Below are 21511 nucleotides of genomic sequence, written 5' to 3'. Positions count from 1 at the left end.
ATTGAGAGTTCTACCTCATGATTTGTATTTGGGCAGGGCCACTCCCAAACAATGTTGATCAGACAGGATTTTCTGTGGCAGACATTTGCTTAATAAACAGTTGAGCACCACTCATTTACCTGGATATTTTAGGGCAAAGAGTTTCTCGGTCTATATTCTCCATATCACTCAGTGTTTGTGAATATATGGCTTTGTCAGCCTGTAGAGGTCCTAGAGCTTCCCTATTGGGACAAGAACTAATGTGTGCTCCCAGGGAGGTGAGAGCAGCAATGGCTTTTCAATAGGCCTTTCATCCTAACTTCTTTCTTCCCACAAAGGGTCTTGGGAGCAACTTCTTCACAGACCTATGAAGACAAGCTCAGAGCAGAGCCCTTACATTCCATAAATATCAGATCTCAAAGACAGAGATACCAAAAGCCAAGTCACAAACAGCATCAGTGACCCTGAGCAGGCATCATCAGTTTCAGGTGAGGTCACAGAGCTTGAATGAAGTTCTAATTGTTGTCTGGAATAAGTAAGACGTGGCTTCCCCTCAGTATCTCCTTGTCAAAGGTGGGCCTATGCAGACAGGGCTCCATGAGATGAGCGTCCATTATGGGAGAGAGGCAGAGGAGATTTAGGAAAAGGAAGCTGCTGCAAAATACAGAGCATCCCTCCAGAACACTCCACATACATCAGGATTTTAAGGGTACTTTGAGGAAGGTGTTCCAAAAATATTTATCCGCTAACACACAGGTTCAACCTTCTGAGCAGGAAAGAGCAATCACAGTAATATTCTTGAATCTTGTGGGAAAGTGGGCTCCTTCAAAAACTCTTGTATCTCCTAACTAGTCAGGCTCTCTACTGTCCCCTGCATACCAGCACCTTGCTCCAACCGTTGTATAAGTGAGAACCAGCCATAGAAGCTAATCTTAGATGGCATCAGCCTGTTAACTTCAGACTTTGATAACTTTACTCCCAAACCCATGTCCCTGGCTCCTTCTGAGAACAACTTGAGTCAGGGAGATCCCTGCTGAAAGGACTCCCAGGGCAGGCAGCACGTTGTGTATGTGTGTGTCCTTGTGGGGGTGTGTTTCTACATTTATTAAATTCTCTGGGTTATTTAATATGCTTGGTGAAAAACTAGAAATATGAGCAATAACATTTCATGTTCAGAAGGAAGACTGAGAGTAGTATAAATGGCAGGGCAGGCTTGGTTTCATATTCTTCCCAGAAGAACTCGTCATCATGGTTTGGGGAGCTTCCATCTCTTGGTTGCAAGCCCAGGGACTGATGTGGACACAGGGTTTCAGTGACGTTTATCCTGTAGGCATCACAACCAACTCTGACCCCTGTGGTTATGGCAGGCCTTGGGGAGGGTGTGCTGAGTGTCCTCCACTGGTAAATGCTGACAACCTTTTTCAGTCCACTGCTCCCCTCCACACACACCCCCAACCCTTTTGCAAGAGCGGCTGACAAGAAATCAAAATGACCCATTTGTATTTCAATCTGCTCTCTTTTGCTCGGTCTGACATCCTTTTACCTTCCCTCCCATGGAAGGTATGGATAAGTGGCCAACAGAACCAAAGGTAGGGAGGAAGAAGTGTTTAGTGCCTGGATATTTAGAGGATAAATCATTAAGAGTTAGCTCTGCAAGTCCCCTGATTAGTAAAAACTTCAATGCTTTGAGGGCCTTTATCCCAAGGCTTACCTAAAAGGCACCCAAAACAAGTATACTTAGGATAAAATGCATGGGGGCTATTGTGCCTTAGGGGCCACTGTGGATTTTTGGCTGGGCCTGTGGTTACCTAGTGAGGCCAGGGTGATGTCAGTAGCTGCTATCCCCTGACCTAGAGGGCCAAAGCAGTGCAGTTATGCTGGTGCCACTGCTCAGATAGCTCATGGAAGCCCCCTGCACCACGTCTTCCATGGATTACTATGCAGCAGGGGAAAGCAGCGGAGAATGCCAGTCAAACACTGCCTTCTACTCTGGTCATTAATTGACATCAGCACCTCAGGGCTGCCCAGTTGCAGGGAACCAGTTGGACAGCATCAAATCTGTACCTTCCCTCATCTCAGAGGTTAGAGAAAATCAACAGGGGCTATTTAGGAGGGAAGGCCCGGGTCAGAACTTCAGCAACAAAAATACTTTTTATGTAGGAAAAAAAAATGCCAATGCATTCACCCAAATCCTAAAATACAGAAAAGGGAAAAAAAAAAAAAAAAAAAGAAGAAGAGGAGGAAAAGAAGAAGAATTGTTTGCACATTTGAAAGTCCAAGAATAGTGAAACAGGGGAAAAAGGGTCAACTAGTCTTTAACTTCATTAAAACATGCTCATGGTGAAAATTTATTTTACATATTTAAAATAGTACATTTAAACTGATTAGTTACATTACAGGTACAACGATGAGCACTGTGACGCCATCATATTGCACATCCTGACTTCATCCATATGGGTTTCTTTAAATAGTGCAAAATACTTTATACAGGAATGTGTTCGGAAGGGTCTTGCAACCAAAATAAGGAAAAGAAGTATCTTACAAATTACTATGAACATATATTCAAGTGACGGGGTGAAGGGAAATTTTTAAAAAGTTACAATCTGTACAGAGGAATTGCCACAGACAACCAAAAAGTTCCCTCCCTCCTGGGAAAAGCAGCGGGCCTCTGACCTTCACAGGTCTGGCATTTGTGCCAAGGTAATTTTTTGGTGTCAATCAAAAATATATATATATATATATATCAGTTACTTAATACAATATAAATAGAAGTCCAGTCCAGTGAGTCCTGTGGTGGGTCAAATGTGGCAACAGAAGGCACACCTTTTGTCACCTAGGGTTTCAGTAGGGTTCTTAATGAATGTGGGGGAGAAAGGGGGAAAAATGAACAGAAAATTATAAACCAAAAGGAAAGAAAAATCATCGCCACCACCAACTAAAAAACTGGATCACTCCAGCCCGGATGCCCCATGTTGCATATGGTGTCAGCACTCAAACACTGGTTCTGTGGTACTGTTGAGAATAAGCAGTAGTAATTCCCTACCATGTGTTTGCATTTTTGTGTTCTTTTGTTTGTTTCTGAATATTTTTAATCCTCATACTCCTCTCCCGGGGAAGCCAACGAGGCACTTACTTGATGCTCCCGTCACTACTTTCTGCTGCTGTGGCTTTGGTGAGGGGCGCCAGGATGCTGCCTGGGACCCAGCCCTCGGCGGCGGGGGAATGGTCGCTGGCAGGCTGGTACACCAGACACATGTTCTGCTGGTTGACGGCGAGGACCTGGACCACCTCACCTTGGCTCACACAGATTTCATTCTCCTTCAGTGCATAGTAATCTTTGATCACGGCCATGGACGAGGTCCCATTGCAGCCTCCCAGGTCGTTCTGCTGGGAGATAAGGGTGAGAGGGGCACAAACACAAGGACGCTAGTTCACATGGGCTTGCTCTGCACCCTACCCAGTGGTTCAAGGCCAAATCTCCCACTAGCAGGGTAGGCAGCAGGCAGCATTCTCTCTTGAGTAATGACATGATATTAATAAACATGCTCTGAAAGTATATTTTTTAATAGCAATGTTTCAACAATATTATCATCCAGGGTGAATGGCTCCACCCCACATAAAGGTATAAACACGCCTTTGACCTGGAAGCCCCTTCCCAGCATACAACCTTCCTGCCAGCGTTCTCTTACAAGTGAAAGGAAGAACCTGGCACTGGCATAGGGGTATGTAAGCACCTGGGCAGAATGAGGTCAGGGCAAGTGTCATGTCAGGGGTCACAATCCTTCAATGGAAAGAACACGGATTGTTTGATATTAAATTTTTCTCTTTTTGAAAGTGCGCTGGCTTTACTTTATATTCTGACCCTCTTTGAGACAGGACTAAGAATGATATCTCTGCCCAATTCAAAGGCAAGACCATGACCTACCCTTACCCAACTTCCTGCAGGCACCAGGTACCCTCCCCTACTCATTAATATAAGAGATGCTGCCCATGACCTTTTCATGTGAGTCTATTTCAGGGCAGCTGCCTCTAGACAGACTTGTAACTTTCCTAGGAGGACTGGCTGCCTCATAGAGCATGGTAAGAGCCAGAAATTCTTCAGTATATACATATATATTCTATATGCATATACATACAGGATATACATATATATTCTATATGCATATACATACAGGATATACATATATATTCTATATGCATATACATACAGGATATACATATATATTCTATATGTATATACATACAGGATATACATATATATTCTATATGTATATACATACAGGATATACATATATATTCTATATGTATATACATACAGGATATACATACAAATTCTTCAGTATATACTTTTTGTTTGTTTTTGAGACACGGTCTTGCTATGTCACCTAGGCTAGAGTGCAGTGGCAGAGTCATAGCTCACTGTAGCCTCGACTTCCCAGGCTCAAGTGATTCTCCTGCCTCAGTATCTGGGACAACAGGTGCATGCTACCGTGCCTGGCTAATTTTTTTTTTTTTTTAAAGTTTTATTAGAGATGAGTTCTTGCTATGTTGCCCAGGCTGGTCTTGAGCTCTTAAGCCCAAGCCATCACCCTGCCTTGGCCTCCCAAAGTGCTGGGATTACAGGCGTGAGCCAGCGCATCTGGCCCGATATGTTTGACAAAATGCCAAAGTGACTTCAGTTTATTCACAAAGGCAGGATTGTTTTTTAAGGTGGAAAATCATTTCCAGGTGATGTGACGGAACAAATCAGTGTGGTTACTCTAATACAGGATTGAACTTGGACACTAATAATTTTTTAATATAACCAATATAAACTAATAATTTTGAGGAGAAATAAAACTATAAAACTGGAACATGTAGATAAAAAATGTAAGTGTTCCTATTCATAGAGCCACTGAGTTCTAGAGAAAACTGAGGCCTAATGAGGTTAACTAACTCGGCTAAGGTTCTAAAGCAAGTGAGTTGCAGAACTGGGAATAGAAACCAGGTTTGCCTGATTCCTAATCTAGCACTTTTCCCATTTCTCTCCTGTTCTACCTACCTTGTAGGGGCAAAATAGCTGTGTAGACTAAGTCTATGGTTGAGTCTTTGACTCTCCTTATGGTGATGTTTGAATTGTGGATTATCGACGACAAACATTCAATCCAAGTCAGACTTCTCCCATTCACACACTGATGATCGACTTCCCTTCCACATCAGCCAATAGATGGTGAAGAACTGGGAACTTCTTTCAGTAGGTGCTCGAGGCAGATCATCATTAGAAAGGGTGAACTCTTTTTAAGGTGTCAAACACTACAGCTGTGACTTTTAGATGACGATGATCCACACTGAAACTACTCTATTTAGCAAAAATCATCCATTTTTATGATGATTTATGCCACAGGGAACTGGTATAACTCACTCAGTTTATAGGGAAAGGAAAACATAATTGAGACTAGACTGTACTTAGTGTGCTGTTCCTGCTAAAATAATCAGCAAGCATTAAAAGATGCTACTTCCTGGCCGGGTGCAGTGGCTCACACCTGTAATCCCAGCACTGTGGGAGGCTGAAGTGGCCATATCGCCTGAGGCCAGGAATTTGAGACCAGCCTGGCCAACATGGTGAAACCCCATCTGTACTAAAAATACAAAAATTAGCTGGGTATGGTAGGGCGCCTGTAGTCCCAGCTACTCGGGAGGCTGAGACAGGAGAATTCGCTTGAACCTGGGAGGCGGAGGTTGCAGTGAGCTGAGATGGTGCCATTGCACTCCAGCCTGGATGACAGACCGAGACTCCTTCTCTTCCTAAAGTAACCCCTGAGGCTATGCCATCGTAGTGACAAGGGTGGGAGTAATGAGTTGTCACTTACCTTGCTGGCTTCGAACTTGTCCCCAGGCTGGTGGTATTCAAACCCTGGACTGCCATTGGAGGTAGATATCTTCAGGGGAGGCAGAGGTGGGTTATAGCTGGAGCCCTTTGGGGGCTTCTCTGAGCCCGCAGGAACAGAGGAGTAGGGCCTGGGGCTGGCTTGGGGAAGCCTGGCAGGTTGAGACCTCATCACAGCTGTGCTCCTTTCTTTCCGTTGATACTCAATGGGCGATTGCAGTGCTGTGGGATAAGAGCAGGTGGTTACTCTAAGCTTTGGGAATCCCACAAGGATTTGGAGGCCTCTTAGGTCCAAGGCTTTGTGTTAGGCATCGTGTGGATAAGTGAGAAAAACACTACCCTTGTTTTTAAGGCAATGGGAGAACTAAGACATCTACCTAAATAATGAAAATACAAAAAACAAAACGGTGCCATATGTGAGGTGCCAAGGGTTGTGCAAAGAGAGAGAAGGCTCTGTAATATGTGTGTGGTGGTAATAACAAAGAGCTTCGGAAGAGAGCTGTGGCCAGACTCTGGCACTTAGGCTGCAGGAAGGAAGCAAGTGTGACGTGTTGGCGAGGGGAACAGGAAGTAGTCAAGGGTGTCTAGGAGGAAGAGGAAACCAGAAGGGTCTGTGAGGTGGGAAGTGCCATGGTATGAAAAGTCTAGAAAGTGAGTCCAATGAGTCTGGACTGAATTCTGAAGGTCATGAAAAGTAATTGGATGGAATGAACTTTAAAGCTTTAAATTGAGATTCTATCATCAGAGAGCGACATTTGAGGAACACTGACCTTGTAGTGGTTAGGAGGAGGGACTGGAGAGGATGAGACAGAAGGCTTCTTGTCTAATTCAGAAGCCACAGAATGGTAAAAGCGAGAGGTAGAAGGTCTAGGAGAGCGGGACCAGTGGGATGTGGAATGGATGTGGGCGTGGTGAGGTCGGGAGAGATGAGACTGTGACAGCCTAGGTGGGAAAAGCAATGCAAGAATCGAGGATGGCTCAGGTTTGGAGACTCGGAGGATGGCAGTCAGTGGAACTCAGAAGACAGGAGAATAAGCTGATGTGAAGGAGAAGACTGGAGCTTTGTTTTATTGAGTTTAAGGTAACAAGGTTGCAAGGTCTGAGAACTAAAGAGGGAGAGCCAGGCAAATGTCATACAGGTCCAATTCTTTAAGAATGACTTCAAAGGTTGGCCGATTATGTCATTTTTATCAGTTTGCACTGTAACAGCTATTTAAGTGGGTTAACAGCTGGGGCCCAGAGAACTTCTCAATTACAAGGATATTTCTACTGTGATAGGTACATACCTCAACAGGACTCAACATAGGGTCACACTTCCTTTCTACTTGAGGTCTCAGAAGGAAAGATTGGCTCTGAGATGCCTGCACACATCTCTGTAAGTAGAAGCCTGGCCCTGGTCCGTCATCACATCCTTGTCTCTTGTATGTGTCAAAGTAATAACAGGCCCACCAGAGCACTGCCTCTCTCACTGAGGAGTGTTTTGTGGCATTAAGTATTTAGGAGATGATAACCTAGTTCAGTAATACAGTCAGCCCACTGTATCTGTGAGCTCCACAACCATGGATTCAACCAACTGTGGATTGAAAATATATGGGAAGGGCCAGGTGCAGTGGTGCATGCCTGTAATCCCAGCACTTTGGGAGGCCAAGGCGGGTGGATCACTTGAGGCCAGGAGTTCAGGACCAGCCATGGCCAACATGGCAAAACCTTGTCTCTACTAAAAATACAAAAATTAGCATTTCTGTATTTTTGTATTGGTGGCATACACCTGTAATCCCAGCTTCTCAGGAGGCTGAAGCATGAGAATCGCTTGAACTCAGGAGGTGGAGATTTGCAGTGAACTGAGATTGCGCCACTGCACTCCAGCCTGGGCGACAGAGCGAGACTCTGTCTCAAAAAAAGAAAAAAAAAAAAAAAAGAAAATATATGGGGGAAAAAAGGATGGTTGTGGTCTGTACTGAACATGTACAGAGTTTTTTTTCTTGTCATTCCATAAACAATATAGTATAACAATCATTTACATAGCATGTACATTATATCGGGTATTATAAACAATCTAGAGATGATTTAAAGTACAGGATGATGTACACAGGTCATATGCAAACACTATGCCATTTTATGTAAGGGACTTGAGCATCCACAGACTCTGGTATCCTCGGGAGGTCTTGGAACCAATTCCCTGTGGATACCAAGGGCTGACTGTATCTCCATGATTCATTAGGAGAAAGGTCTCTTGGAACGAAGTAAAGGTCTGAATCATTGACTATGCCTAAATAAATACAGTTCCAAGTTCTAAGTACATAGCAGAGTTATAAAGTAGGCCTTATCAAACTGATTTTATGAATCAATTCCCATCACATGGAATTGTGATATTACCTGGTTATTTACAATAATTGTGCTAAAACATTTGAAAATAGAATGCCTTCTTAAATAAGCTAAATGGACAGCCTGTATTCTTTCACCAGCCTCCATTTGCATAACTTAATTCTCAGAATCAAGAAAACTGTGCGTCCCTACAGGGTTTGTTTTTGACTGATCGATACAGTGTCTTATGTCTGATCCTGTTTCTTTCTTCACTTTGGTTGCTAGGGAGATCATAATTAAATAAATGAGTGCCCTAACACTAGCACCTATACTGCAGTTTTGTGGTTCACAACCTTAATTTGAAGTCCTATAGCTGTGGATTCAAGTCCTGTTTCTATCACTTACTGCTTCTGTGACCTTGGACAAGTTCTGAGTCTCCTTTTCCTCACTTGAAAAAAGTAGGACAATAGTACTTACCTCTCCATGTTGGCGTGAGGATTAAATGTGAAAAACCATGTAAAATGCTTAGCATAGTGCCTGGCACAGAGCAAGGATTCAATACACAGGAGCCATTATTGTTATGTCAATAACTTCTTGTTTCAACTTACTGTTGCACCTTATTTTTCTTTTGTCCCAAATTGATGAATTTTAAAATTCCTAATTTCAGCTTAGAATCTATCAGAAACTCCTAATAGAATGCAATTTAAACAGATATTTTTATATATGAACACATTTTTGCATAAAATTATTTTATCAACAAAAGTGTTCATTTGAAGTTGTATATTATATTCAGAAATCATAAGCCATATAAAACTTTCATTACCATCCCTCAGGGCTGGGCTGGTGTTTAATTTTAGACATTTTAGAGTGAAAAGAATCCTAGAGATCACTTAGTCTAGTTGTTTTTCACCAAATTTTTTTTACAGTTGAGGGCCAGGAGCCTGGCCCAAAAATACTTTCTGTAAGTGCAAAATTGCTTTGAAGTCTCATGTTCTATCTTAAAAAGTCGTGGCATCCTGTTACATGATCTCCTTCTATTTGTCTTTAAAACACTGTGCTAAATCCCTTATAATACAGGGAAACTGATATTGTAGGGAGGATGCCAGGTGTCCTGCTTCCAGGAAGACTGGCCCATCACAGAGCATGCCAGCATGGGCAAAGTAGATCTACCTGAACTCCCTTTTTCACAAAACCAGCCACAAGGCCCAGAGAAATGTCATGACTCCTCAAGGTCCTCAACTCGTATGGCACCTTTTATCTTTCCCTTCAGCATTCAGTTCCATTCTAGACATCCAGAAAATGCTGTATTTGGATCATTTGAAAGAGTCCAGATCCTAGTACTGGCATGAAAAGGTGACACACCCGAGGGTGGGCCTGTACGTGTGTACATGCATGTACCTGTGTGTGCGCTCCTGTGAGCACGTATGGCCATGTAGGACGGATCTCAGGACAGGCAGGAAGAGGTGGTATACCCAAAGGTGGTTGTGTGTGTGTGTGTGTGTGTGTGTGTGTGTGTGTGTGTGTGTGTGTGTGTCTCGATATACAGGCATATGTGTTTTCTGAGTCTTCAGGTTTACTTCATTACTAGTTACATTTTGCATTCAACTTCAAGCTCTATTTCTGCTTGGTTAGACTTCTGAGCTAACCAAGTCAGCAGAGATCAGCCACTAGCTTAAAATCGCATACCCCTTTCCCATGCCAAGCTCAGTGTGAAGAAAACCCCAGCAGGGGAAAAAATAAAGAAATATATACAAAGTGGCAACTCTACTTCACTCCAGTTCACACCACCCATGAGGGAGCTCCTGCAAGGGCCACAAAGAGCTACACCCTCTGTGTAACCACAAATTTTCTTCTAGGAAGTTTCAGGGTATTACAGAAATTTAAAGTTAGCAATCATCTCTCATTTAAAAGGGGTAAGGTTGGCTAGTAATGTGGCTTATGTAGGCTCTCACACTGTTGGGAGCAGAGGAGGGATTTGAACTGATTGGTCAAACTCTCATTTATCTCTAGTTAACACTACAGAAGCTGTGAAAAGTGGAAAAACACATATCATTTCTAGCCGGTCCTGGTTCCTTAGACACAGAGGATGTGCCTATCTCAGACTTTTGCCCAAATTAGTACCAGGTGGTAGTGATGGCCACAAGACATATATCCTGTGTCCTATAAGTGAAATCTCTTCTATCAGAAAGATGGAGCTTCTTTTTCATACCCTATCTGTTGTGCTTGTGTATTCAGCTTCAGAAAAATTCTAAAGTGTTTCTGAAAACTACAAAGTTGGAGTACCTATAAAATGTGATCTGGGTTCATAACTCAACATGAACCTAGACCCAAGGAAGCTCAGAGGTCGTGGAGTCCCCTGACACAGCCCTGCAAGGAACCAAGCCCAGCACCCACCATTCAAAAAGTCTCGCTGTGTTTCTAAGACTTGATTGATGTCCTGCACCCAGGCCTGCTGGATGTCAGCGTTGGCGGCTTGCAGAACAACCCTCTCAGAAGTCTCTCTGTTCATGAGTGCAAACTTGCAGGGATCATTGTCCACATTCTCCTCCAGGACCAAGTAATTCATCTGGAAGAAAACGAGTTGATCCTTTTTACATTTAAAAGATTTTTTAAAAATCAGCAACATATTACTCTTCCTCAAAGTTTCTATTTCAGGACAAGCTTCCAAATTTTGCCCTGGATCTAGCAGGACAGTACTTAGGTTTTTGTCTCTGGGTGAGTGACACGATCCCAGGGAACCTGCAGGATCATGCCAGAGACTGGCTCAGCCTGTCACTTCAGCTCACAGATAATCACTGTCGTGCAGCCTCCATGACCGAATGTTATTCGGCTGAAAGATCTTCACGGTTCTGGATGTCACAACTCCAGGGCCTCGTCTTAGGGAAGCAGCTCCCAAGAACTGGGCTCTTCCTTGCCTCTTCTCATCACCATTGGGATCCTCACCTTGATGCTCCTTTTGAACATGTAGCCAGGGGTGAGGGATCCCTTCCTGAGCAGTTCACTGAAGATGACAATCTGCTCGAAGAGGAACACGCGCCTCTCTTTGGTCCGGGACTGCATGCCTGCATCCAGCTCGATCACATAGAATGTGTCCTGCTGCAGCAGCTTCCCCTGAGCAGTCAGAGTGCCCTGAAGGAAAGACGGGCTGGGGTGAAGTGAATGAAAAATGGGGAGCGAGCCACTGCCCTCTGGGTCCACAGAACCTCCCCATCTGGGGATACGGGCAACAGATTTGACAACAAAAGCCTCAGGGCTCTAGGAAGAGACTGAATTAGGACCCACCCACTCATCCAGGGGCCGACCTTGGCCACTTTCCTGTTCACACAAGGGCCCTGGAGGGAAAGGGAAAGCAAGCTGCGGAACCACTGAGAAACAGCTCCAGGCAAATGCCAGAAGGCAGGAAGGTAATATCATTAGCAGAAAAGCCATAATCCTGGCCCTTCTTGTTTTTTATTGAAAGGACAATAGAAAGTAGGTGACACTTGGAGCTGCAAGTGGCCTTTCCATCCTCAGAGCTCTGAGAACGGTGCCTGCCTGGTTCCTTTGCAGTATGGGCCAAGGACCAAGGGCATTCTCATGGCCACCAACCTTGAACTCACCTGTAGACAAGGGAAGTGATGAAGGCAGGACCACAGATACTCTGATAAGTCACTCCCCTCTCTTCTTCAATTATTTTAGGATGGAGAAATTCTGAAATCTTAGTTTCTAGTTATAGGCCAACAGGTAAAGTTGGGGGTACTATAGATAGGTCTCCATATTTTATAAGCTGGTAGATACTTTTCTGGGTTCTGTGATTCTTCTAAAAATGACTCCAGGGTGGGTGTGGTGCTCATGCCTGTAATCCCAGAACTTTGGGAGGCCAAGCCAGGCGGATTACCTGAGGTCAGGAGTTCAAGACCAGCCTGCCCAACATGGCGAAACCTCATCTCTACTAAAAATATAAAAATTAGCCAGGGGTGGTGGCGTGTGCCTGTAGTCCCAGCTACTTAGGAGGCTGAGGCACGAGGATCACTTGAACCTGGGAGGCAGAGGTTGTGGTGAGCCAAAACTGCACCACTGCACTCCAACCTGGGCAACAGAGTGAGATTCTGTATCTAAATAAATAAATACATGAATAAATTTTAAAAAACTAATAAAATAAAAAAATAAAAATGATTCCAGCTACTAGGCCACCTGACACCTAGCTGAGGAGGTAGAACCTATTTGGTTTGCCAGTTTCTAATGAGATTTTCAGAGACATCTTCACAGCTTCAAAGGGAATATGGCCCAACCCAGAAAGTCTTCCCAGACTCTGTCAGAGCACCTTGCACTTCTATTGCTTTGCAACAAGAAGACCCTGACATCAGAGAGAGCAATCAGAGGGCCTCCTCTGAAATGCAGGTGCTCTTTCTCAGGCGGCAACTCTACCCTTTGGCACAAATGTGGCCATTCCCTTCATGTGATGCCTTATTCCAAACACTACCCAGCAGAGGGGTCATTTTTCTTTTGTGTTCCTGAGAAGTGCCTGCCCTCTGCCTGGATCATGGCTCCTTACTGCCAATGTCAGCAGCCAAACAGGCTTATCTCTACTGTGGTCTAAAGTTAATATTAAGCCAGTGACCAGCTAGCCAGGAAAGCTCTATTAATATTACACAAGAACCTATCATGGGTTATAGCTCGGCCAGCACCAAAGGGAAAGCCAGAGGATCTGAAAGTGGGGAGGAATTTAAAAGAGGAGGCTCTAACTTCTCTCAAGCCCAAAGCCATGGGCTGAGGGAATAGACACATGCTCACTGTTCTTCCCAGTTAGCTGAAGGAATGCAAAAAGCAGGTTCTGGTGGCTTGACAAAAACAAGAGACAGCAGTGCTTAACTTAAAAGCTTGATTCTGGGCTGGGTGCAGTGGCTCACGCCTGTAATCCTAGCACTTTGGGAGGCCAAGGCCGGCGGATCACCAGGTCAGGAGATCGAGACCAGCCTGGCCAGCATGGTAAAACCCCATCTATATTAAAAATACAAAAATTAGCCAGGCGTGGTGGCGCCTGCCTGTAATCCCAGCTACTTGGGAGGCTGAGGCAGGAGAATCGCCTGAACCCAGGAGGCGGAGGTTGCAGTGAGCTGAGATCATGCCACTGTACTCCAGCCTGGGCGACAGAGCAAGACTCCATCTCAAAAAAAAAAAAAAGCTTGATTCTGTGCTTGTGGGTGCCCTTATATGCGCGCGCGCGCACACACACACACACACACACACACACACACACACACTCACATGTACAACACAGCTCCTGTGAAGTTTAACTTGGGATAGACAGCACAATCAGACACCACTCCTCCTGAGTGGTCACTTCCTCCAGAGACCCAGAGAAGCACAGTTAGACTCCTGTTCAGAAAACATGGGGTCTTCAAGGTTGAAGAGCAAAAGGGATCTCTTGGTTTGTCCAGTATAGCCTCAGACCTGATGTAACGCCAAGGGAAAATGTATAAAACTCCACCCAGTATGACGGAAGAAAAATGGTTAAGAACTCAGTGTGTGTCTGCCGAGTAACCCTGCTTACACTAATGTCTCCAGCCTGCTTTGGAAGACCAAGAGCCTATGAAAAATGCACAGCAAAGAAAACCATCCACATAGTTCCTGTCACAGCAAAGCATGAAAACCAGACAGGGACACATGGGATGGGCTGAAAGGGCAAGGAGGAGAAGAGAATTTGGCTCAAGAATGTCATGAATCCAATGCATGAAAGCTAACTTAAATATACTATCCCGTAAATTATTCATACAGTGGTATGAGTATGAGTCAACTATATCTCTGTCTTGTATCTATTTCATTCTAGTTTAGCCAGAAAAAAAACAAAAAACAAAAAACAAGCCATTTATTTCTGAATTATCCCAAATTCTAGGAATCCCTTTGCCCCAAAAAGGAATAATGAAAGCTTAGGTTTCAGACTGCTGGGAAATAAAAGATCCACATCTTTCTCTAAGGGGATCAACAACTACTAGGTACCAATCAATAATTGTGTCAGTTCCAATTTTATCATATTAATCTTAAAAACATATTGTGTGTGGTTAATTTATTAGGTTTGGATATACGTTAATAACAGTCAGTTATTAAGTTTAAATTAGAAAGTCAATTTCCTCTTCAAAGGTTCACTGTTATGGGCTGAATTGTGTTTTCTCTCCTTCCATGCCCCCATCAATTCCTATGTTGAAGTCCTAGCCCCTAAAATCCCAGAATGTCAGCATGTGACCTTATTGGGAAATGGGGTCTTTACAGAGGCAATCAAGTTAAAGTCAAGTGGTCATGCCAGTAAGCCCTAATAGAATATGACTGATGTCCTTATTTAAAAAAAGGAAACGGCCCAGTGTGGTGGCTCACGCCTATAATCCCAGCACTTTGGGAGGCCGAGGCGGGCGGATCACCTGAGGTCGGGAGTTCGAGACTAGCCTGACCAACATGGAGAAACCCCGTCTCTACTAAAAATACAAAAAATTAGCCAGGTGTGGTGGCACATGCCTGTAATCCCAGCTACTCAGGAGACTGAGGCAGGAGAATCGCTTGAACCCAGGAGGAGGAGGTTTTGTTGCCACTGCACTCCAGCCTGGGCAACAAGAGCAAAACTCTGTTTAAAAAAAAAAGGAAACTTGGCCACAGAGATAACACAGAGGGAAGGGAATGTGAAGATACAGGGAGAATGCCATGTGAACATAAAGACAGCCATCTACAAGCCAAAGAGAAAGGCCTGGGGCAGACCCCTCCCTCACAGCTCTCAGGAGGTACCTGACAGTACCTTGATTTCAGACCTCTAGCCTCTAGAAATGTGAGACAATAAATCTCTGTTGTTTAAGCTGCCCAATTTATGGTACTTTGTTTTGGCAGCCCTAGTAAACTTGTATGTTCACTTAAACCAAAATCTTTGGGACACAGCCATTTCCCTGCAGACTTGATTCCCCTCTTCAAATAACAGAACTTTGTACTGTAATGTTTTAGAGTTTTAACTATTCATTTAACTGAAAAGCCAGAACCACCTTCTCAAAAAACAGGTGTTCCATTCTCCTGCCTAATTCCACTTCTATCACATAGCCCTGCTGTCACTCACAGTCCCTGCTTTATCAATCAAGAAGGGAAAGGAAGAGGTCACTATCAGGTCTAAACACTCATAAAGAACTCTGGGTCTTTCCTAGCCTGGCAACATGGCAAAACCCCATCTTTATAATATAAAAAATATTTAAAAATAAGCCAGGTATGGTGGTGTGTGACTGGAGTCCAGCTTCTCAGGAGGCTGAGGTGGGAGGGCTGCTTGAGCCCAGGAGGCTGAGGCTGCAGTAAGCCAGGATTGCACCACTCTGCACTCCAGCCTGGGTGACAGGGCAAGAACCTGTCTCAAAAAAAAAAAAAAAAAAAAAAAAAAGAATTCTGGGTCTTTCCAATCTCCTTGGAATTCTGACTTTGGTTTGGCTAAATGCTCTGTAACTTCTTATGACCTCCCTACTGCTGGACTTCCTAAAGAGATGCATCTTCCAGGACTGTGAACCAGAGGGGCCCGGGTAGGAAGGCATAGTGGTGAGTGAAGGAGGCACAGGCAGGACACAAGGCTTCAGGGGGAGGAAGCCGCAACAGTCTGGACTCCTATTGTCCTGGAGAGAGTGGGCTTAGACGCATTCTTAAAGACTCACCTCAAAGCCCTGCAGACGTCCTAGATTCATCATGTCATTGCAGCGTTTGGGAACAAGGCACATTAACTCCACTGCTTTCTGTGGGAAAGAACAACTGTTACTCAGGAGGGGGAACAGCACTCAGGCAGGAAGCTCTTGGTAATTCAGTGCTGGAAAACAGGGACTTCATCTCTGGTGGCTCCTTTATTCTAGGAAGGGATGCTGGTTCTGGCTGTCCACTCTCAGAGAGTGTGGGGCTTTCTGTTCTAGAGGGAGGGTGTTGGTCCTCAGCACAGGGGCTCCATGTCAGTCACTGAGCATATGTTGGGGGAATATTACTCAGCCCCTCCTTTCCCTACCTTCCTGTTTTTGTTCATCAATTCCCTTGCCTTCTCAGATTTTCTTTCTTCTCTCTGTTGCTTCCTGGCTGCCCAGGCAACAGCTTAGCCTGGCTTGTGAAACACTAGAGGTTTTCAACTAAAATAATCTGTCAGAATGGTCTGTAACCTCCCTGGCTTAAAATAATCCCATAGTGACATTGTCTCAAAGGACTTCACTTGGAAGTAGTCTGCAGGGTTTGGACAGGGAGGTGAAAATGGAATACTTTATATGTTTGACTCAAATAATACTTGCCTTCACGAATAAAATTGCATACTGAGGCTTTTGTGCAACTTACATCTAATCTCTGAAGGATATTAAGGGGTTACCCTTTCCCACTATGTGTCACCAGGAGCCAAAAGAACACCAGTGGGGCTAAGCTCTAGTGCACCCCAGGACAGATTTCTTTAGTTCTAGGAAACACTGTGTTAACACTTGCCATTCCTCAAGCAGGTACAAAGCTGTTTACAAGAGCCTCTTACTGTCTGAGAGGGGTCCACCTGGATCCACGGTCCTCCTGAGACAATCTTTTCCCCTCTAGAGAAAGATATCCAATATGGTCCCTAAGAACAGCAAGCATTACAAGCAGAAAACTCACCTCAATATCTGAACACTCCAAACCAGCCTTCTCACTGTATCTCAGGAAGTCCTAACAAGTAGGGGAAGCAGGCAAGAGTGTGGGAAGGGGTAAAATTAGTAAAATAGCTGGGAAAAAACTTATCATAAAAATACAATAACACCCTGGAGACTTTCCTTCCCAGCAGAAGTGGCAATGGTGTAGAGTAGCTGAGAAATGAAATTATGAGTCATGTAAGATGTAATAACATAGAGAGAACTCCCAGAATATTCAAATTTCTTTTCTTTCTTTCTTTCCTTTTTTTTTTTTTTTTTGAGACATAGTCTCACTCTGTTGCCCAGGCTGGAGTGCAGTGGTGCAATTTTGGCTCACCGTAACCTGTGCCTCCTAGGTTCAAGCGATTCTCCTGCCTCAGCCTCCTGAGTAGTTGGGATTACAGGCAAGTGCCACCACACTCAGCTAATTTTTGTATTTTCGGTAGAGATGTGTTTCACCATGTTGGCCAGGTTGGTCTCAAACTCCTGACCTCAGGTGATCCACCTGCCTCAGTCTCCCAAAGTTCTGGGATTACAGGCGTGAGTGACTGCACCCAGCCTCAAAATTTCAAAGCTATGGGAGAAGGAAGAGTGAGAGGGAGGGAAGACAAAGGAAAGGGGGATTATGACAAGAAAGGAGAGAAAGGAAAGTTAAGTCTCTCTTTTCTATTTAGCCTCCTAGTTCCATAAGATGAATCAAGTTAAGCCATTGTTTAAAATATAATTAGGCCGGGCACAGTGGCTCATGTCTGTAATCTCAACACTTTGGGAGGCCAAGGTGGGAGGGCTGCTTGAGGCCAGGAGTTTGAGACCAGCCTGAGCAACATAGTGAGACCGTGTCTCTACAAAAAAAATAAAAAATTAGCCAGGCATGATGACATGCATCTGTTGTCCTAGCTACTTGGGAGGCTGAGAAGGGAGAATCGCTTGAGCTCAGGCATTTGAGGCTGCAGTGAGCTATGACTGTGTCACTGCACTGCAGCCTGGGTGACAGAGTGAGACCCTGCCTCAAATATATACATACATATTATACTTTATAATATATATTGATTATATATAAAATATATTGATTTTATATAATATATTGATTTTATATATATATAAAATCAAATTTTAGGTATTACTAATCTAATATTTCTAAAGCCTTGCCTTTCCCTTTCTTTCTCCCTTGTAGTTCACTCTGATATCATATTCTTCTTATTTTTTAAAGGTATCAAGTCAATGATTGAGACAAAGTAAGAATGTGAATTGAAAAAATAAAATCAAGTAACAACCCACCTTAAGGGTAGGAAGAACAGCCATGCAGTTTATTTGGGAGCAAAGCTGACAGAGTAACCAGCAGTCAGATAAAAGTTCCCACGTCCCTACCACCCCTCCCACAGTTCACAGTCCTTTGGGACAGTGTGGTGGAGACAGAACCGCTAGCTCTACCCCTAGCTCAGAACCTGCTCTGAGCCTGATGGATCCTTCTCCAGCCCTCACCCAGGCTCCCAGCTTCTTACCTTGAGGAGCAACTGGTATTTTGTTATTCTCTGAATGGGCTTGATGAGGAAGTCACTCAGTGTCAGCCTCTGATTTATCTCCTGTTTTACCTCCTGAAACACAGGCAGCAATATTAGAAGAAAAAGGAACTGAAGAACTGGGGTGCTTTGAATAAGGGTTCAAAGGCATGGAAGACAGGTCTGCATGTTTTCCAATGAAGTTGAAGAATCTTTAAGTAATGTGAGAGGTAAAATTGCCTAGAGGACTGTTCACTTGTTATGAACAACACATAACACACATCACCACTGGCTTCCTGCCTTCCTCCCATGCTTTTACAGTGAGTACTTCCACACCTTGGTCTTCATCCCAGTCCTGGGAGAAAAGCTGGAGGGGCCTTATTCTCTCCACCACTTCAGGGCAAAGGCAGGGAAAAGGGGCTTCTTCTAGGACACACAAGCCTATGGAGCCAGGCCCTAAACTTAGATCTCCAAACACTCAGCTGAGTGCTTTTTCTAAGTGATGATGCTGCCTTTCTCCCAGCAAAATAAATCCTTCTGGGCTAGACCAAGCAGACTAGGAAGTGGCTGCAAACCCTTCAACCAACAGAAGACTCCTTAGTAAGTGGTCCCTGGGGGACTGGTGGGTACAGTCTGCTCCAGGGTCACTTAAGAAGAACTGGAGCTTCTCAAACCATCTCTGTGTTCAGGCTTATTCTGCAAATGGGGGATTCTCAAATCAGAACCCAGACTGGGCCACCTCAGCTCCTCTCAAGTGAAGGTGCTCATGAGAATTTAGCTAAGAAGCTGCTTTCTCTGTTGAGGCAGCTATTCCTGCCATGAATGGGTCAACGGTGCTGTGTGGGGGTCACATATGGATGGATGACGTCTGGTATTTCTGAAAGTGGCTGTTTTGGCCTGAGTTTTCCTCCCACCCCAGTTCAGCAAAGCCTGCACAGCTTACCTCAAAGTAGGCGTCATACTCAGCAACGATGTACTCTGAGCGCGGCTTATTCTGACAATACCACACGTAGATGTGCAGCTTCCGCTCCTGAAAGAGCAGAGAGAGACATGTGGACAGTCAGGCATCTTGTGTCTTTTGTTCAATCTCAGAGTGCCGTGCTGGCCTCCACGTGGACAAAGGACAAAGGCGCACTTGGGGACGCACCAAGGCAGCTGAATATCAAGGATATAAATGTGGTGGGCAAGAGCCACTTTCCAAATCGCCAAGGTGGTCAAAAAAACAAAAAAACTTAGAGAGGGCTGAGAAAGAAGGTCACTCAAGGAAGAGCAGAAGAGAAGAAATTTTATTTACTTTTTTTTCTGAGACAGGGTCTTGCTCTGTCACCCAGGCTGGAGTGCAGGGTGGGGCCATCATGGCTCACTGCAGTCTTGACCTCCCAGGCTCAAGCGATCCTCCTGCCTCCGCCCCCCCAAGTGGCTAGGACTATAGGCATGTGCCACCAGCCTTGGTTAATTTTTAAATTCTTCGTAGAGATGGGGGCCTCACTATGTTGCCCAGGCTGGTCTCAATTCCTGGGGTCAAGCCACCCTCCCACCTTGGCCTCCTAAAGTGTTGGAATTACAGGTGTGAGCCACTGTGCCTGGCCAGGATTTTAAAATGAATATAAATGAGCCTAGTGAAGGAGTTGGGGAGGAGGTGATGGGAGACACTCACGTGCTTAATAAAGAGCTGTGCCAATCTGTCTTGCTCCTGGATACACTTTTCCAGTTCCGCCAGGAAAAAACTAAAAGGAGAAAGGGGATAAGAGAAGGAAGCCACATTATTCAGAACTGTATTATTTCTCAATAATAAGATGAATTACAGAAGACTCTCCCCTAAGCCCTACTCCTTGAGTCAGATGCAGGAAGAGGACTCAAGTCCTGGATTCCCAGGACACTGGATCCTCGGGGCAGCATTAACACTTACTCCTTATGCCAGTCATAAATCTGATGAATATTTCCAAACACGATTTTGTCCTTTCCTCGCATATCCTCAGGGACACCCTTTTCTTCTATTCTCTTCATGAAGCCCTGCAGCAGCAAAGGCAATGGTTAGTAGCATATTTTCACAGGAAAGCTTTCTGGGCCATGCCACACACCACAGCACCCCTGCAAGCCCACACTCTCTGCGTGAGTTTGCGGACAAATGCTTCTGTGGTTTCTCACTATTCAACCAGGTCTTTAACCCCTGGTGCAGAGCAATAGAGAAAACTTTTATGAGTTTCAGGATCCCCTTCTTTGTCTCCAGTCCCCTTAAGAAAGCAGAGCACAGAAGAAAACAATAAGCTGTCCCTCTTCCTTCTCCCAATCCAAATTAATCAGGTCTATAAAGGCTCAGAACTAGATACATCTGGCCTAGAAATAAGTCTTAATATGTTAATACTTTATAGTCTATAAAATGTGATCATAGAGAATTTCATTTCTGTTTTAAAATCAGGTTTTGAGGTTGGACAGGTAGCATTATCCCCATCTGACGGACAAGAAAACCCAGGCACCTGGGTGTTGGATGATGACTTGTCCATAATCGCACCACTGATGTCTGAGTTCCCTGCATTTCAGCCTCCCAGTCTTCAGATTCCCTCGTCCTCTACTCCTGGGCTGGACTGCATATGGAAGCTATTGTACCTCTTCCACCCCCCAGCCCCACAAAAAGACAAGAATAACTTTCCGTAAGTTAAAATTCAGGTTTTCTATATGGCTGGTTAATCTGTTTATCCAAGATTCAGAATAAGCAAATACAAAACCCTAAGTCAGCAGATTTCACAGGATGGGAACTCAGGCCAAATGTAAGGAACCAGCAGGCAATGTAGGCTTTAGGCATAGAATTTTTATTTTTTTGTTTTATTTTTACTTTTATTTTTATTTTTTGAGATGGAGTCTTGCTCTGTCGCCCAGGCTGGAGTGCGGTGGCGCGATCTCAGCTCACTGCAAGCTCCGCCTCCCAGGTTCACGCCATTCTCCTGCCTCGGCCTCCTGAGTAGCTGGGACTACAGGCGCCCACCACCACGCCCGGCTAATTTTTTTGTATTTTTAGTAGATACGGGGTTTCACCGTGTTAGCCAGGACGGTCTCGATCTCCTGACCTCGTGATCCACCCGTCTCAGCCTCCCAAAGTGCTGGGATTACAGGCATGAGCCACCGCACCCGGCCGAGAACTTTTAGACTTCATGTTCTTTCAAGATGATTAACAATAGGGCTCTAAGCCATTCAAGTTACCCATTTACTTTCTCAGGCTTTTTTTTTTTCATCCAAGTGTCTAAGTC

At 44.5% G+C, this 21511-nt stretch overlaps 1 protein-coding gene across 34 annotated transcripts in view; it reads right to left on the bottom strand.

Moving 5' to 3' along the window:
- Window positions 1-21511, bottom strand: part of KALRN (kalirin RhoGEF kinase) — a 692957-nt gene that overhangs the window by 48599 nt on the left and 622847 nt on the right. For 13 of the 34 annotated variants that reach the window (XM_006713810.4, XM_017007429.2, XM_006713814.4 and 10 more), the window contains 10 exons: window positions 20176-20279; window positions 19924-19993; window positions 19210-19296; window positions 18270-18362; window positions 16754-16804; window positions 15799-15876; window positions 11093-11278; window positions 10544-10715; window positions 5829-6067; window positions 3113-3366 (listed from right to left, as the gene is read on the bottom strand). In XM_006713810.4, coding sequence (XP_006713873.1) covers window positions 3113-3366; window positions 5829-6067; window positions 10544-10715; window positions 11093-11278; window positions 15799-15876; window positions 16754-16804; window positions 18270-18362; window positions 19210-19296; window positions 19924-19993; window positions 20176-20279 — 1334 coding nt within the window. Of the gene's footprint in view, window positions 1-2299; window positions 3367-5828; window positions 6068-10543; window positions 10716-11092; window positions 11279-15798; window positions 15877-16637; window positions 16719-16753; window positions 16805-18269; window positions 18363-19209; window positions 19297-19923; window positions 19994-20175; window positions 20280-21511 lie in introns of those variants that run through there. The other 21 variants (XM_047449162.1, XM_024453811.2, XM_047449163.1 and 18 more) reach the window with 4 other exon arrangements.

Source organism: Homo sapiens, chromosome 3 (assembly GCF_000001405.40).
Source record: "Homo sapiens chromosome 3, GRCh38.p14 Primary Assembly".
NCBI lineage: Eukaryota > Metazoa > Chordata > Mammalia > Primates > Hominidae > Homo > Homo sapiens.
The sequence above is the reverse complement of the archived record's forward strand: the minus strand, read 5'-3'. Positions and strand labels throughout refer to the sequence as shown.